At 36.0% G+C, this 16,692-nt stretch overlaps 1 protein-coding gene and 1 long non-coding RNA gene across 4 annotated transcripts in view, besides 1 other annotated feature; one reads left to right on the top strand and one right to left on the bottom strand.

Annotated features, from left to right (window-relative positions):
- COLEC10 (collectin subfamily member 10) overlaps nt 1-16,692 on the bottom strand; it is a 156,193-nt gene that overhangs the window by 37,749 nt on the left and 101,752 nt on the right. The window contains exon 1 of one of the 3 annotated variants that reach the window (NM_006438.5): nt 3,278-3,460. The exons of the other annotated variants lie outside the window; for them this stretch is intronic. Within the exon in view, the coding sequence (NP_006429.2) occupies nt 3,278-3,425 (148 nt within the window). The 5' untranslated portion in view covers nt 3,426-3,460. Of the gene's footprint in view, nt 1-3,277; nt 3,461-16,692 lie in introns of those variants that run through there. 3 annotated transcript variants of the gene reach the window in all.
- On the top strand, nt 1,925-7,765 carry LOC101927513 (uncharacterized). Its single transcript, NR_134297.1, has 2 exons — nt 1,925-3,033; nt 7,467-7,765. It is a non-coding gene; the product is annotated as an uncharacterized LOC101927513 (long non-coding RNA).
- Nucleotides 2,286-3,485: an enhancer, noted in NCBI's record as "BRD4-independent group 4 enhancer chr8:120079461-120080660 (GRCh37/hg19 assembly coordinates)". NCBI's record gives its function as "activates an origin of replication core promoter dependent on BRD2, P300/CBP, MED14 and CDK7 cofactors, and independent of BRD4, by STARR-seq in HCT116 cells {active_cell/tissue: HCT116}" and the evidence as "EXISTENCE:reporter gene assay evidence [ECO:0000049][PMID:35650434]".

The raw sequence follows: 16,692 nt of genomic DNA, 5'->3' as shown, positions 1-16,692 counted from the left end.
TCGCTGTTATTTTCAAGGGAGACCACTAGAGGTCAGAATTTCACATAAATTGTTTAAAGAAACCACCAAGATGGGGGAAGAGGGAGAAAAAAAGAGAGAGAAAGGGAGAGAGGGAGAGAGAGAGAGAAGGGGTGGGGGGAGAGAGAGAGAGAGAGGGAGAGGGAGAGAGAGATGGAGGGAGGGAGGGAAGGAGGGGGGAGAGAGAGAGAGGGAGGGAAGGAGGGGGAAGGAGAGAGAGAGAGAGAGAGAGAGAGAGAGAGCGAGGGAGAACATTTCATTTTCCTGTTAGGTAACATAAATGATAAGTTTAAGGCATAGAAAGAAAAATAATGATGGCTTGCAACAGAGTCATTTTGATAACTTATTCTCAAAATTGTTACTTAACAGACTTAGATAGGGAGAGAAGGAAAAGATAAAATAGAATTTGTTAAAATTTCTATTGATGATGTCTGTACAGCTTAAAGTTCACATTGGTTATCATAATTCTTAAAAGAGGTCTGTGATGAAGGCTCATTTTGCAAATGAAGACACTGAAGTGTAACAGATGTAACAACATGCTGAAGATAATCAGATTGACTCCAGTGCCTTTCTTTCCACTAAACCATGTCTGGGAAATAAGACTTTAAAAATAATATCTGTATATTGGTCAATATATTCTATGACTGGTTAGCATTACTGGGTTTTCACAAATGCCATTCTGCAATTCTAAATAATTCATTTAGTTTTCACTCTCCCAGATGAATTTAGGGAAAATTCATTTCACTGTTTCCCAGAGTATCTAGAAACTTCTGAGCACTGTGCTGCAGTGCTAGTAAATACAGTAATGAGATGATTAGCCATGAAGAAAAGTATTAAGACTAGCTTGATCTTAGGGGAAAAATATTGAAAAAACAGTAATAACGCAGACCTTTAAAACACTTACTTAACCATCATACTATTCTTTTTAATTTTGTAGAGGTAAATATACATATCTGCCTTATTTTGGAGTGGGGAGGGGTTGTCACAGTATTCATGAAGGAACAAGGTAGAGTAGATGGCAGTTTACATATATATATATATATATATATATATATATATTTTTTTTTTTTTTTTTTTTTTTTTGAGATGGGGTCTCACTCTGTTGTCCAGGCTGGAGTGAAGTGGCATGATCATGGCCCATGCAGGCTCAACTGTCTGGACTTAAGCAATTCTCCTGCCTCAGACGTCCAAGTAACTGGGACTACAGGTGTGCACCACCACACCTGGCTAATTTTTAAAAAATTATTTTAATTTTTTGTAGAGATGGGGTCTCTTTATGTCACCCAGGCTGGTCTCAAACTCTTGGACTCAAGTGATCCACCTGCCTTGGCCTCCCAAAGTGTTAGGATTGCAGGCAACACACCTGGCCCACTGTTCATATCTTAAGAGAAGGTATCATGTCTTGGTTTCTGGTGTACCCATATCATCTAGCATGGTGCCTAGAGCACAGGAAAGGCAGTGATGAATATACTCATGTTGCTTTAGGTGCATTTAGGTGTGTAGGAAATTTTCAAAGAAAAAGCATAAATTGGTGCCGGCCTCAAGAGTTTGTAATAGAATACAAAGCTTGGTATGTAGATGCGAGAGCTAGGACAGGTTACTTATCTTAGCTTCCAACCCCTAGCATCTAACATGATGCCTGGATCTTAGTAGGTATTCAGTACATTCCAGGATCATGGATTTCTTTATTAAGAACAAAATTTATTAAATTTTATTAAGAATTTATTTTATTAAGAATTTTATTAAGAATAAAATTTTATTAAAAATAAAATTTGGAGTCCATGTGATACAGTTTCCAGGCTCTGGATGAAGAAGAGGAAATCACACCCAAGAACATAACAGACTTAGTTCTAGAACCCACGGTTCTAGAACACCGCTTCCCAAGTCCCTCTCCCCAGGATCACTCACTTCATTTTGTCACACTCTGGCTTGTAATTATCTCATAATGTCTGCAGATGCTCAGGAGGAAAGTTAATGAGATTTCCACTGTTTGAAGTTTTAACAGGGTTTCTAATGGGAAAATGGGAAGGGAGAAGTTTTCTATTAGGTAAAAAATAGTGCTATTCTCAAATGGATTCTCCCATTTGCAGGGACAAGGAAAACTTTAATTTTCAATGCCCCCATGACACCCCAGGAATAATCTAAAGTTTCCTATACTCTAAGGAAACTTCAGTAACGGTTTTAAGCAAATACTTTATTTCTAATCAAAACTTTCTTTCTGAACATTTGCCCTCGCATTATTCATTTATTCACCCAAGAAATTATTTGGAAGCTCTAAGCTCTCATTGTTCCTCACAGCATTTATTTTATCGTATCAAAGGTTAAAACTTGGATTGCAATCTTAGAGGAAAATTAATTCAGTGATTAAGAAAAATGCACTTTAAGCAATACACATTTAAATAACTGACAGGCATGGGGCAATGTATTTCTGAATTTTGTTTTTTGGAAAAACACTTTTTTCTACTTAAAATTTTAGGCAGCTGCAATTCTTCTACCCTATAGCCTGGAGAAACAGCATGAATTACTAATAAGGGAGCACCAATCTGCAGTGCAGTGACCACTTTCAGAACAAAAGGGTGAAAGCTAAAACCAGAAAAATAGATTTTTTAAAATCTACTGGTTGCTTAAAGCATATTTGGACCTTGGCTGTACTTGAGAACATTTTGCAATATTCTACCATCCTTGAGCAGAAGGCATTTGGCCCCAGAGACTACACTTCCAAATAAAGAAATGTTCATTTATATACTACCTTCAATGCTTGACAAAATGTTTCCATCCTCTACGTTGGAACTCAGGATCCCATTAACTTATGAAATATATATTTAAGATTTAAGTTTTATGTTACTGACCTTTTGCTTAAACAGCTTTACCAGCATCAGTATTAGAAAGGAGGAGAGTACAAACAGTGCAATAATAGAGGTGCTTTTAAGGAAGGAAAGGGCTTCTGGAGACTCATGCCTGGATTGTGCATCTGCCCCGGAGCAGAATGGAACAGGGAATTTCCCCCTGCCCTGGGTAAGTTCCCTCAGATCTCCGTCCTGGGTTTCCCCTTCCCAACATCCTCTTACCTAACATCAAAGGAGAGCTTTAAATAAGTAACAGACCAGATCTGGAAAATCCTGATTTTCCAAAATAGAAGGAAAATGGGAGGAAACTAGGGAGGAGAGAAGAGAAAGTCATTGAAATCTAGGAAGGGGTTCAGAGATGAGGGAAGATATCATATTTATTATACATGAAAATTGTGGTTTTCTTTCCTCACCTTTGGGTCCTGGTGAAATTGTGTGTGTGGCACAGACTTCAGCGGTAGGACGGCTATCAATATCCAGACCCAGACTCTGAATTTGCAAAAGAAATAGTACCAGGAGGATAAATTGGTTTCTTCGAAGCAAGGATGCAAAGCCATTCATTGCTGTGGTTCCTCAGAAAAGGGTCTCCCAGAAATGCCAAATAAACAGCTTTATTTTAAATAAAACCTCCTGCTTTGGGGAAGAAGGGGAAGTATTTGGAACACACATTCCAAAAAGGGCTACAGAGACAGGAAGGAAGCATACCCTAGGTTGTTTATTTTCTCAGTGCTCCAAATGGACCATACATTGTCCAGACTGTTTATTTTCAAGTGACAACAGTTTATTGAAAATTATCTCTGAACTCCAGTGTGCATGTCAGTAGAAACATCCCCAAGAACAAAGAAGATAGAGATGCCTTCTGCTGAGTACTTGAGCTGACAATTTAATAGGCTATATTGCATTTAAACGCTGAGTTTCAGAAAGGTTGTGAACCAGAGAGGTCTTCAGTTAGCAACATGTTATGCAAACACCGTGCATGGCTTTGAGCTTTTCATAAGGTGATATTTATTACCTGCTTGTGCCTGTTGAACACTAATGCTTCCAATGCCCTCCATGACCTTCTTACTCTTGCTACCAAGATTATTCTCTTGTGATTAAATTCAAAAGGAAAGAACAACCAGCTTTTCTGTGAAGCAACTTGGTGATAAGTATTAGGAATATTAAAATGTTTATTACCTTTGGCCTAGTTTATAGCTTTTAGCCTTTCTGGTACACTATCTCAAGGAAATATTCTGAAATGTGGGCAAAGCTTCATTTGAAGGGATGTGGCAGAAAGGCGAAAGGCCTTCAATTGCCTAACAACGTGTTAACAGTGGGCAAATTACGGTAAAATATATGAGAGTGTATGACATGACAATTTTATTAAAATGGTGTTTTCAGCAAGTCTTTTACAAAATAAGGGGGAAAAGCTTGTGGTATTATGTTTCATAAAAAGCTCAACAGATTTAGATGTAGAGTATGTAGATCAGATACAGATATAGATACAGAGATCAGGATCTCTATCTATTCCACAAACCTATAACCTGTACAAATAGTATGGGCATAGTAAGATATTGGAAGATTGGAACCAGAATCACATATATTGGAGAGGCCCCTTACCTTCTCCATTCTTGAACAGCATCTCAACTAAGAGTTAGGTGAAAGGGATTTTGGACCTGCTTTCCTTGAAATTGGAAAAGAAGGACCTTACAGATCCTGATACAGACTGACTGCTGAAAAAATATCCCTAAGAGATGTCGTTACAAGTAACCATCAATCCAAGAAATACAGGTGCATTAGTTTCCTAGGGCTGCCATAACAAAGCACCACAAACTGAGTGGCTTACACCAGCGGCCGGGTGGCTAAAACCAGTGCCAACCCTTTTGGCACCAGGGACCAGTTTGGTGGAAGACAATTTTTCTATGGGGAAGATGGGGAAATACTTTCAGGATGATTCAGGCAGGCACATTACTTTTTCTTTTTCTTTTCTTTTTTCTTTTTTTTTTTTGAGATGGAGTCTCGCTGTTGCCCAGGCTGGAGTACAGTCGCATGATCTGGGCTCACTGCAACCTCTGCCTCCCAGGTTCAAGCGATTCTCGTGCCTCAGCCTCCTGAGTAGCTGAGATTACAGGTGTACACCACTGCACCTGGCTAATTTTTTGTATTTTTAGTATGGTTGGGGTTTCACCAGGTTGGCCAGGCTGGTCTCCAACTCTTGATCTCAAATGATCCATCCACCTTGGCCTCCATAAGTGCTGGGATCGCAGGTGTGAGCCACCATGCCTGGCCTCAAGCACATTACATTTATTGTACACTTTATTTTTATTATTTACATTGTATTATATAATGAAATAATTATACAACTCACTATAATGTAGAATCAGTGGGAGACCTGAGCTTGTTTTACTACAACTAGATGCTCCCATCTGGGGATGATGGGAGACAGTGGCAGATCATCAGGCATTAGATTCTCCTAAATATCAGGCAACCTAAATCCCCACATGCACAATTCACAATAGGGTTTGTGCTCCTATGAGAATCTAATGCCGCTGCTGATCTGACAGGAGGTGGGAACTAAGGCAGTAATGTGACTGATGTGGGGGCAGCTGTAAATAGAGATGAAACTTCGCAGGCTCACCCACCGCACACCTCCTGCTGTACAGCCGTGCTCCTAACAGGCCACAAACCGATACCAGTTCGTGGCCTGGGGACTGGGGACCCCTGGCTTAAACAGCAGAAATTTGCTTTGAGGTATTGGGGATCAGAACTTCAACACATGAATTTTGAGGTGGGAGGAACACAATTGAATACATCACAACAGGCCTATAGTATAACTGACTGATTTTTTCATAAGCAGTACAGGGAAGGAAACTAGCACTGATTGAATAGTCATTATATACAGGCTGAGAGCTAGTCTCAACTTGCGTTTATCTCATTTAGTCTCAAAATAGTCCTGTGGATTAGATAGTAGTCCTTTCATTTTGCAAACAAAGTAGCTGAGGCTCAAAGAAATTAAGCAGTTTGAGTAAGGTCATCCATTGAAAAAGTGACCAAAAAAAAAAAATCAAATACAAATTATTTCCCAAAATCCTGCTTTTAAAATACTATTTGGTTTCCATAAAGATGAACATTCTCAAGCATTGAGGATGCATTAATTTTTCACAAACACTTAAAATGTCCAAAGTGGATGCATTTGTCAGGTTAACAGTGATAGAAAAATACTGAGAATTGAATGATGTTAGAAACCTAACATTTTACATGTGTCATAGCCAGATATGTGACATAGAGCAAATCACATAATGTCAATTGCCACTAGGCATGTAAAATGAGTTTGGACTTCATATTTAACATTGTTTCTAAATTCTATGATTCTAAGAAAATTGATACTCTTTAAATTGTTTAGACTACCCTAAGTCTACTTCACTATTTGTTTATTTTCAAACATTTCCTGGCATACAATAAGAATAGAATCATTGCATTTATATATAGAAATTAACTGGTAACCATTTCAAACAAACAATAGTCCTTAAAAAATTTTCTTGGCATATTCTGCCCCCCTCCTTTTTTTACTCAATAAAGCATATAAATACATTCCTATATAATGTGTACTATACTACATCAAAATTTAAATTGCTACAGAGAATTCACATATTTTATATAAAACATTATTTAATTTTAAAATGGGAAAGATGATTGAATACATAAAGTGGTTAAATTATGTTAAGTATATTGTCTTTAGTGTGCAAAAAAATAGTGCTTCCCAGAAAGGTTTCTACTGACATTTAAAAGGGTTCAGTCTTGTTTATTCAGAAAATGAAGTCACTGAGAACAACAAGCCAACACTGTTTTTGCCTTAAAACGTGGTTTTAAAATAGACAACAAGCCAATCAAGTTTACAGATGGCATAATAGTGGAAGAGATTAATGGTAAATCTAAAAAGAAAAGAATTAGTAGCTAGTTTATAAAACTGTCTTCATAGTTCTACTTTTTTCTGACTGCTTTTATCTTTCATTTCCCAAGATATTGGAATTCCAGGCTTAGCTTTGTGTTTGTCCAAATATGACATGTCATTAAAGTAAATAACAAGTGATATTTGCCTCGTTATTCCTCTACTCTTTTCTTTTTTTTTTTTGTGAATTGAATTGTGGCCTTAAAAAATATATATATATATCCACATCTAACCCAGGAACTTGTGAACATGACCTTACGTGACAAAAGGGTCTTTGCAAACATAATTAAGCTAAGAGTCTCAAGATGAGATCATCCTAGATTATCTGGGTGGACCCTAAATCCAGTGACAAGTGTCCTTAGAAGAGACACCCAAAGGAGGGAGACAGAGATGAAAGGAGAAGGCCAGGTGAAGACTGAGGCAGAAATGAGAGTTACGCAACAAGAAACTAAAGAATGGGCTTGCAGCCACCATAAACTGTCAAAGGCAAGGAGTGCTTCTCCCCTACAGCCTGCAGAGCAGAGTTCTCTACTACCTACAGCTTGATTTTGTACTTGTGGCCTTGAGAAGTATGAGATAATAAAGGTCCGTTGTATTAAGGCACCAAGTTTGGGGTAACTTGTTATGGCAGCCCTAAGAAACTAACACACCATTCTTGTGCTCTTCATCCACAGTAACTGGAAGAAATGACACATCAAAACATTTGCTCAGTGCCTGACAGAGACCCAGCAACATCTGTTCTTGTGCATTTTAATGATCATGCCTCCAGCTTCCTGATATTTTCCTGGAAGGAAAATAAATTCCAGGATACGAAAAAAGCATATCCTAAGGCAGAAGTATTTTACTAGTTAAAACAGCATAACAGTACAATGACAACCTCATCTCCAGAAGGGATTTCTTGACAAATTGATATAACTCAACTTTGGACTTGGTTTCAGCTTTGTCCATTCAAATAAGTAATTAGTGGATTAAAGTCCTCTCTTGTGAGTTAATTTAACTTTATACAGTTTGTAAAAAATGAAAATTAGTAGAATGACTTTTAAAATAATGCATTTAGAAAGTAACATGCAAACACATAATAATTTCTTTTTTACATTTCAAATTTCATATTTTAAAACCGCATTTAAAAAATCAAGGCTAGGCACAGTGGCTCTCATCTGTAATCCCAGCACTTTGGGAGGCCGAGGTGGGTGGATTGCTTGAGGTTAAGAGTTCAAGACCAGCCTGGCCAACATGGTGAAACCCCGTCTCTACTAAAAATACAAAAATTAGCCAGGCATAGTGACACATGCTTGTAGTACCAGCTACTCAGGAGGTTGAGGCAGGAGAATCACTTGAACCCGGGGGGCGGAGGTCGCAGTGAGCCAAGATCATGCCACTACACTGCAGCCTGAGCAACAGAGTGAGACTCCGTCTAAAAAGAAAAAAAAAAAAATCAAATATTCAACCTGGGAAAGCTGACTTTTTTAAAAAAAGTCAAATGGTTTTAACAGGCTTATGAGACAAAATCAGAAGCCTCCCACTGTTTGTTCTCCACTCTTGAGTCTTGTTCCTATAAGAATACTATTTTAATTATTTTAGTGCTTCTTAATTTATCTCCTTTGTATTTTTGAGTAACACACTGATACTCTGGTTTTTATTTTTTTTCAGTTTAGATACTCATTGACTTCTAAATATGGAAGATGGAGATGTCTCTCTCATTCCTAGGTCTACATCTTCCACACATATTTTCCTTCTTTTAATCCTAGTAACTTAATATTATAATTTTAATACAATAATGTTTATAATATAATGGGCCTGTAACAATTATTCACAGCAGGGACACATAGTACATTATGATTACATTGTGTTTCATGTACTAATTTTGTTTCTCTCTAGGTTTAATAATTGTGGTGTTGGTTTTTTTGCATAGCTTTCTATGTACCAAACCCATCATAACTACCAATTATTTGAGATTTGTCAGTTTTGTAGAAATGTAAAGTCTTCTATTAGTTTCCTTTACTTTTCTTAGAAATTTCTTTGGGAACCCTCAAACTTATTGCTCCATTAAGATTGGAAGGCTTGTCAGCAAGCTGTTATCCTAAGAGTTAACTTGACTATTTTCTAGGAATTGGTATTATTATTACACAATTCCTTTTCTGATATCTGCGTCTTTTTTTTTCTTGGTTTCATCCTTCATTTTAATATAGTATGTCTTCTAGTAGTTTCCTGAAAGAGAGTGGACTTCAGATAAATTTTTGAGACATTGTAAGTCTAAAAATATAGTAATTGTACCTTCAAATTATGTGATATTTTGGCTGGGTATGGGATTCCAGTATGAAAATAATTTTTACCCTGAGGTATAAAGATATTCTATTTTCTTTTAGCTTTTAGTGTTGCTGCTGAGAAATTTGATGTTGTTCACATTTTCTACACTTTCTATAGAATATGTTTTCTCTCTCTTTAGAAGCTTTTAAGAGTTTTTTTTTTTTTCAATACCAGCTATTCTGAAATTTCAATGATATGGCCTTAATGTGGACCTTTTAGCATTTACTGTATTGGCTAACTGTAGGTCCTTTAAGTCTGGAAATAATTGTCCATCAGTATTATAAATTTTCTTGTGTTGGCTCCTGATAATTTCCATACCTCCACCTCTCTGTTCCCATCTCTGTCTCTCAAGACCATTTCTCAATGGGATATTGGATCTTTTGGATTAGTCTTCTAATTTCTGGTGTATTTCTCCACTCATGTCTTTCAACTCTTTTGTTGAATGTGTGTTTTACATTGAACCATTATAAATTATTTATAAATACACACATCCTTTATAGTTATAAAAATTCATTTCATTCAACGAATGTTTATTGAGCACCTATTATATCTCAGTCTTTCTAATTTTTCTTCCTTTATAGCTTTTGTCTTACTTTTATTAGCTCTCTAAATCTATCCATTATAGTTTTTTAAGAATCTCTTTTGTTCCTTGGATTGTCACTATTTAGTCTAAATTCCTTGTGCTTCTGTTTGATTTAATTTATATATTTCTTGTTATTGACTTTAATAAAACATCTGGATATCCTACACTGATCCATTCATAGTTAGGAGGCACTAACTTGGTATTTGGAAGCTCTGCATATGCAAGTGGAGTTAGTTGACTAATGACAGTATCTACTGTATTATAGGGCAAAGAGGTAATGACTTGCCTAATTTGTGGGAGCCTCTCATTCTCATTACCTGCATCTCTGCTTTTTAAACTGTAAGATTTATTTAGCATACTCCAATCCCTTGTTTAAGGGGATGTGTATATTACCAGTAGCATTCTGATTAAGAAAGGGATTTAAGAAACTCACTGTTCTTACTTTCTTTTAGTCTTCTGTAGCTCACTATCACCTCAGCTATGGCTGATATCCCTAGATGTCCACGGGTTAAAATCTCAGTCTTGTACTCAGATATACCAGGTATAGTCCTCTAGCAACACATAATAGGTTTGGAAATCAATAGCCGTAATTGCTCATTTGAAAGACTTTCCCAGTATTCCTTTTCAGCCTCATTTTGCCTCCATTCAAAACACATAGTATATGGTATCTTCTGAATTTCTGGTGTATTATCAACTTACATCTTTCTGTTGTTTCCAATGATAGATAGTTTTCACAATTCTCTGTTCTGTTAAGACAGTGACCATTTGTCTAATACTTTTGCTAGCTTCCAAAACACTTTTTGGTTGCTCCTCTTATTTTCTTACAGTCATTGTGGGTTTTTAAAAATTTTATTACTGCTATTTTGGTGACATTGTGGAGGGAGCAGAGAATAAACATGTAGATTTAATCTTCCATATGGACCCAGGTGTTCCAAAAATTACTTCAAAAATAATTTCAAGCAACTTCTGTGGGTAGGTGTGCTGAGATGAGGCTCAACGGCATATTCTTCCCCTTAAAAATTAGTCATGAAAAGGAAGTTTCAGCCATGACTATGTGAAGAAGTCAGAACACCCTTTCTACAAACATCTATGAAACTAGATAAAGTTATCAAAATAATCATTTCAGGGCTTTTTTCTTTTGATTTGTTCAAAATTATGGGGTACATTTGCAATTTTGATACATGAATGGATTGAGTAGTGGTCATGTTAGGACTTTCACGGTATCCATCACCCAAATAACATACACTGTACCCACTAACTAAGCATTTGTTCTTGAAAAGATACCCCAGCTTTGTGCAACAACAGTAAAAGTATGAGGCCTTCATGTATGGAAAAAACTCCACCTCTCTCCTCATGGCAGTTGGTGAGAATTGCAGTTTTATCAGCACAGGGACAGCAAGAAAATCCACCAACTTTGCTTTCACAGAGATAGGCTCAATATGGAGGGAGATATGCAAACAAAGTACTGATTAATGTAATCAACTAGTAAGCCCAGAAATACATTCTCACATTAATGGTTCATTGATTGTTAACAGAGGTACCAAGACAACTAAATGTTCGGGGGTCTTTTCAACAAATGATGCTGGAAAAATTAGGTAGCTACAACATGCAAAGAAATGAAATTGGAACCTATCTCACAGTATACACAAAAATTTACTGAAATGTATCAAAGGCTTACATATAAAAGATAAAACTATAAAACTTCTTGAAAAAAACATAAGAGAAGACCTCTGCAACCTTGGGTTATGTAGAAGTTTCTTAGTACACCAAAAGAACAATTCATAAAAGATTGATGAATTATACTGCATCAAAATTTAAAGCATTTGTGCTTCAAAAAATACCATTAAGAAAGTAAACAGAAAAGTCACAGACTGGAAAAAACATTTACAAATCATATATCCAATAAAGAATTTGTGCTTGGCTAAATGATAATACAATCAAATTAAAAATGGGCAAAATTTTTAAATGGACATTCAGCAAAGAAGGCAAATAGCTAATGCATACACAAAAAGGTGCTTACAATTTTTATTCATTAGATTTCAATGAGATATCACTATATATAGGTAAGACTGGCCATAATAATAATAATAAATGTGACAATACTGTTTGCTGAAATGCGGTAAATTGAAGCCCTCATTCATTTTTGGTATGGATGTAAAATGTACAGTCACTTTTGAAAACAGTTGGTCAGCTTCTTAAAAAGTTAAATATAAACTTAAAGCATAATCCAGCAATTAAATTCCTAGATATCTACTTGGGAGAAATCAAGACATGTGTCCACACAAACACTTCTTCATAAATGTTCATAACAGCATCATTCATAATTGCCAGAAATTGAAAAAATACAAACATCCACAAGCAGTGAGTAAACAGAATGTTGTGTATCTATACAATGGAATGCTATTCAACGATAAAAGTAACAAACTACTGATACATGCAACATAGATGGCACTGCATCTCCAAATTATGGTAAATAAAAAAAGAAAAATCAGACACAAATGGATACATAATATGTGACTCCTTTTATATGAAATTTCTAGAAAAGGAGAACCCTCTACACATAGAAAGCAGATGTGTGGTTGCCTGGGGCTGAGAGTGGGAGCAGGGATTTTTTGAAAATGGACACAATGGGACTGTTGAAGTGATGGCTGTATTATAAATCTACAGTAAAGTGATGACTGCACAACTATATAAGCATACTAAAAAATCCAACTCTTCACTTACAATTAATTTTATGACATATAATTTATACCTCCATAAAAGTGTAAAAAAAACCCTCAAACCTATCATGAAAACTGCATTCCAAAAGTCTTGGAATAGTTATAATTCTCGAGTAGTGTTTTTAAGACTGGAAATAGTCAAGTAGACAAATTGTATTTTGACTCTATTTTGGAGAGAAGTCCTTGTAGATTCAGGAAGTTAGTAATCTTAAGATTGTTTCTAGCTCTATATGCCCTGATATAATGTCTTGGCAGTTGAGGCTTTTGCAGTCAAAGTAATTCATAGAAAACAACCAGATAAAAGAAAAATATTAATATAGATACAACTAAATTTTTCATTTAAATATACCTAATTATAAAGTTAATTACAAAAATTAATTGCATTAAAGAGCTCAAGTACCCTACACCTTTTTTACTTATTAAGAAATCAATATCCTTTTCTGGTCCTAATGGAGCTGGAGGCAAGTTCTTAATTTTCATTATTGTTGTTCTGTGATTAATTATATACCACAATGTCTGGAATAATATTGGATGAATTAGAATGAATAATTGTATAGGCATATAATGATGGGAATTTGAGCTTGAATGATAGATATGTGTAATGAAAGTGCATTTATTCATCTACTCATTCAACAACTATATAGTACTATTTATCAGCTATTGTGATAAAACAGGGAATTATAACAGTGAATAAGACACAATTTTTCCTTAAGAAATTTATCTTCATCTAGTTGAGGGGACAGAGAAGTACAATAGTAGTTGTCATTAGTGTGGAAAATATTCTGATGGAGATAAATACTGGCATGTAATTGTTATAGGGACCCTGAGGAGAGGCACCTGATCTAGGTTGGATCAGGAAATGTTTCTTTCAGGATGTGTTTCCTAAGCAAGTGTATTAGTCTGTTTTCACACTGCTATAAATAAATACCTAAGACTGGGTAATTTATAAAGGAAAGAGGTTTAATTAACTTACAGTTCCACATGGCTTGGGAGACCTCAGGAAACTTACAATCATGGTGGAAGGTGAAGGAGAAGCAAGTACTTTCTTCACAAGGAGGCATGAGAAAGAAGAGCAAGTGAAGGAAGAACTGTCAAACACTTATAAAACCATCAGATCTTGTGAAAACTCACTCACTATGATGAGAACAGCATGGAGGAAACCGCCCTCATGATCCAGTCACCTCCCTCCCTCAACACGTGGGGATTACAATTTGAGATGAGATTTGGGTGGCAACACAGAGCCAAACCATATCAGCAGGATTTTAGAAAACTTGTCAGTTATCCAAGTAAAGTGGGAGAGGAATAAAAGAAGAATATTCCATATAGACAGAATAGCACATTTAAGTCTTAGTTGAGAGAATGATGTGTTTGAGGAACTGAAAGTATAATTGATTGAGCATAGAGGTTGGAACTTGATGGGATAAATAAGGCTTAACCTAGAGTTAAGGACTAGATCCTGAAGGGCATTATACATGCTGCTGAGGAGTTTGGAACTATCATAAGGGCAATCGTGGCCCGTGAAGATTTTTTTTTAAAAAGAATGCCAATATTAGAAATAAAATGGAGGATATGAGAAATGTGACAGAGGTACAACTTCATTGGCTTCATGTAATAGAAACCCAGTAACAGTGGCTTACTGACTTTATGAAATGAGGTGTTTTGTTTTGTTTGTTTGTTCAGATAATAAGGAATATGGACACAGATAATCATGACATAGTAGCACCGTGTTACTGCCAGCAACCATGACTTCTCCCTTCTGGCTTTACTATTTTTTGCATGGAGCTTTTCTCCTTGTACTCACAAAAGGGCTGCTACAATTCAGACATTGCATCTACATTCTAGGCATGAAGGGAAAGGTTGTGGATCAAGAGCTGATGAAACAAGACAGTTAAGTTAATCAATTTTTAAGGAGTTTTTCCCAGAAAACTTTTGGGGTAAAATCCACTTTCATCTCGTTGTCCAGAACTATGTCCTATGCTAGCAGCAAGGGAAACTAAGAGATTAAACATTTTTAATTAGGTAAATCAAGGCTATGGAAGCAAGAATAGATATTGAGTAGGCAACCTGTAGTGCTTGACTTTTTAAGGGTACCCTGGACATTATCAGCAACAATGGGGTTACAGAGAAGCAAATCAATTCGAGGTATTAACACAAGTGGAAGTGACAAGATCTATTGATTCTTTGGAAATTGAGGGTAAAGAAGAGGAAGAAATCAGGATGATTCCCAGGTTCCTGCCTTAAACAATTGGATGCGGTGTCATTTACTGAAACAAAGAATGCAAATTGTGAGGAGAAGTAGATGAATTGAATCTTGGATACGTGGAGTTGGTGTCTGTTGGCTCAAAAAAATTCCAGCCAGAGGTACAGATTAGAAAGTCATCTACATATCAGTCGTAATTAAAGTCATTGGAGTGAATGAGAGCTCAAAAAATAGAAACTGAGAAGAAAAAAACAGTCAAGGTATTTTAAAGACAGAATGAATAGGATTTGGTAAAGTGTCAACTCTGAAGAGGAAGCATGTTCAGATTTTATAACTGGAAGATTCTTCGATGTTTTGGCAGTGCAAAAAGGAAATTGATACTTAATAGCACTTTTTTCTCTTTTTGACAAGGCATTTTTATTCTTTGTAGTCAGCTCTAACACATGATCAATTTTAAATTGCTTTATGCTCTCTAAGACAAATAGCTGATTAAATTGAATATGTGTAATAGAAACTGTTAAACCTGAGTTGTGACTTGACATTTTTGAGGCATGGAGCCAGCTTTCAATGCCATCACAAATTTTGCTCCTGGGATGAGTATTTACTTATTCTGTATCTAAGCTCACCATTTTGCAAATGTGGAGACTGTGACCCATGCTAACCTTGTGGGGACAGGTCAAATAAAGGTTTACAGTACATGGGCTCCTGAGAAATAGGAAAATAAAGATTGAGTTACTAAAGAGCACGCTTTTCTCTCTCATTGCTATACACAGAGGTCAGAGATGAGTGTTCTTCAGGGTCATTGCCACTTCCTGTTCTTCCTTTACCCCTTGCTTCTGAGAAGCCTCAATCAGTAGGGTTTCCACACACTGAACAGTGAGTGGTTGACCTATTGTATTTGTTTGATACTCAACACAGAGAAGTTAAGAAAGGCTATCAGGCATTTGCTGAACTGATAAAACAGAATACAATCCATTCCTGGGAAAATGTTTTCTGCTTTTATGGAGATAAATATTTATTTCAACTCTACTGAAAAGCATGTGCCTAATAAATAATCTGTTTCTTTTTTAATGGTTTGTTTATGTTTTAGATAATTCACATCACAGATTTGGGTCGCTTACATCATATAAAATTCTCAAAATGTATTTTCATAAATTACTTTCGAGAAGATCTAAACTTAATCATCAAGAAAATAGCCTTCATTTTCTATGTTCCTATAAATGACTAAAATTTCTACTTCATAACATTCATAGATATTGCAGTCTTTTATACACATAATTACTTTTTATGTGAAAGGATTCAAAAGCTTATAAGGAAGGGCATGTCACAATTTATACAACATTGAGGAACACTTTTGTTTAAAAACAATAATTTTGTTGCAAACATTTTTAAAAACATGTTAATTCCAGAGGCATCATTCCAGAATACATCACAGAAAATGGAAGCAAGAATCTAGGGACAGGACCCAGTAAGAATGATGTGAGTGATTTCAGATGCCATAAGGATATATAACTAGGTTTATGTTTTAGTATTGTACCGCCGAGCTCAACTCAAAATTGGTTTTGTGTTCCGTTCTTCTAACCAATCCCAGCCCCACGGCATCTCTGCTAAGTGACTCTTTATCTCTTACATGCTTCCTAAATGAATATCATCATCACTTATCTTTTAAAATACAAACGTCTTTATATGACCTGTTTGCAATCTGATTATTGCAATCTGAAGAATTCCCCTGGCAAATAATGACATTTACAAGTTGCATTCCTAAAATACAGTAGTCTCCTCTTATCTGCAGTTTCACTTTCAATGGTTTCAGTTCAACAGTAGTCTGAAAATATTAAATGGAAAATTCCAGAAATAAGCAATTCATAGGTTTTTAAATTGGGTGCCATCTGAGTAGCATGATGAAATCTCATATCATCCTACTCTATTCTGCCTGGGACATGAATCCCTCCTTTGTCCAGCCTATCCATTCTGACTAGCTACCTGGTCGTTAGTCACTTAGTAGTCATCTTGGAGATGAGAGATACTGTTGTAATATTGCAGAGCTTGTGTCCAAGTAACGCTTATTGTACTAAATCATGGCTCCAAAG

The sequence above is a fragment of the Homo sapiens genome, chromosome 8, assembly GCF_000001405.40.
Source record: "Homo sapiens chromosome 8, GRCh38.p14 Primary Assembly".
NCBI lineage: Eukaryota > Metazoa > Chordata > Mammalia > Primates > Hominidae > Homo > Homo sapiens.
Note: the sequence above shows the minus strand (reverse complement) of the source record. Positions and strands in the feature narration are given on the sequence as shown.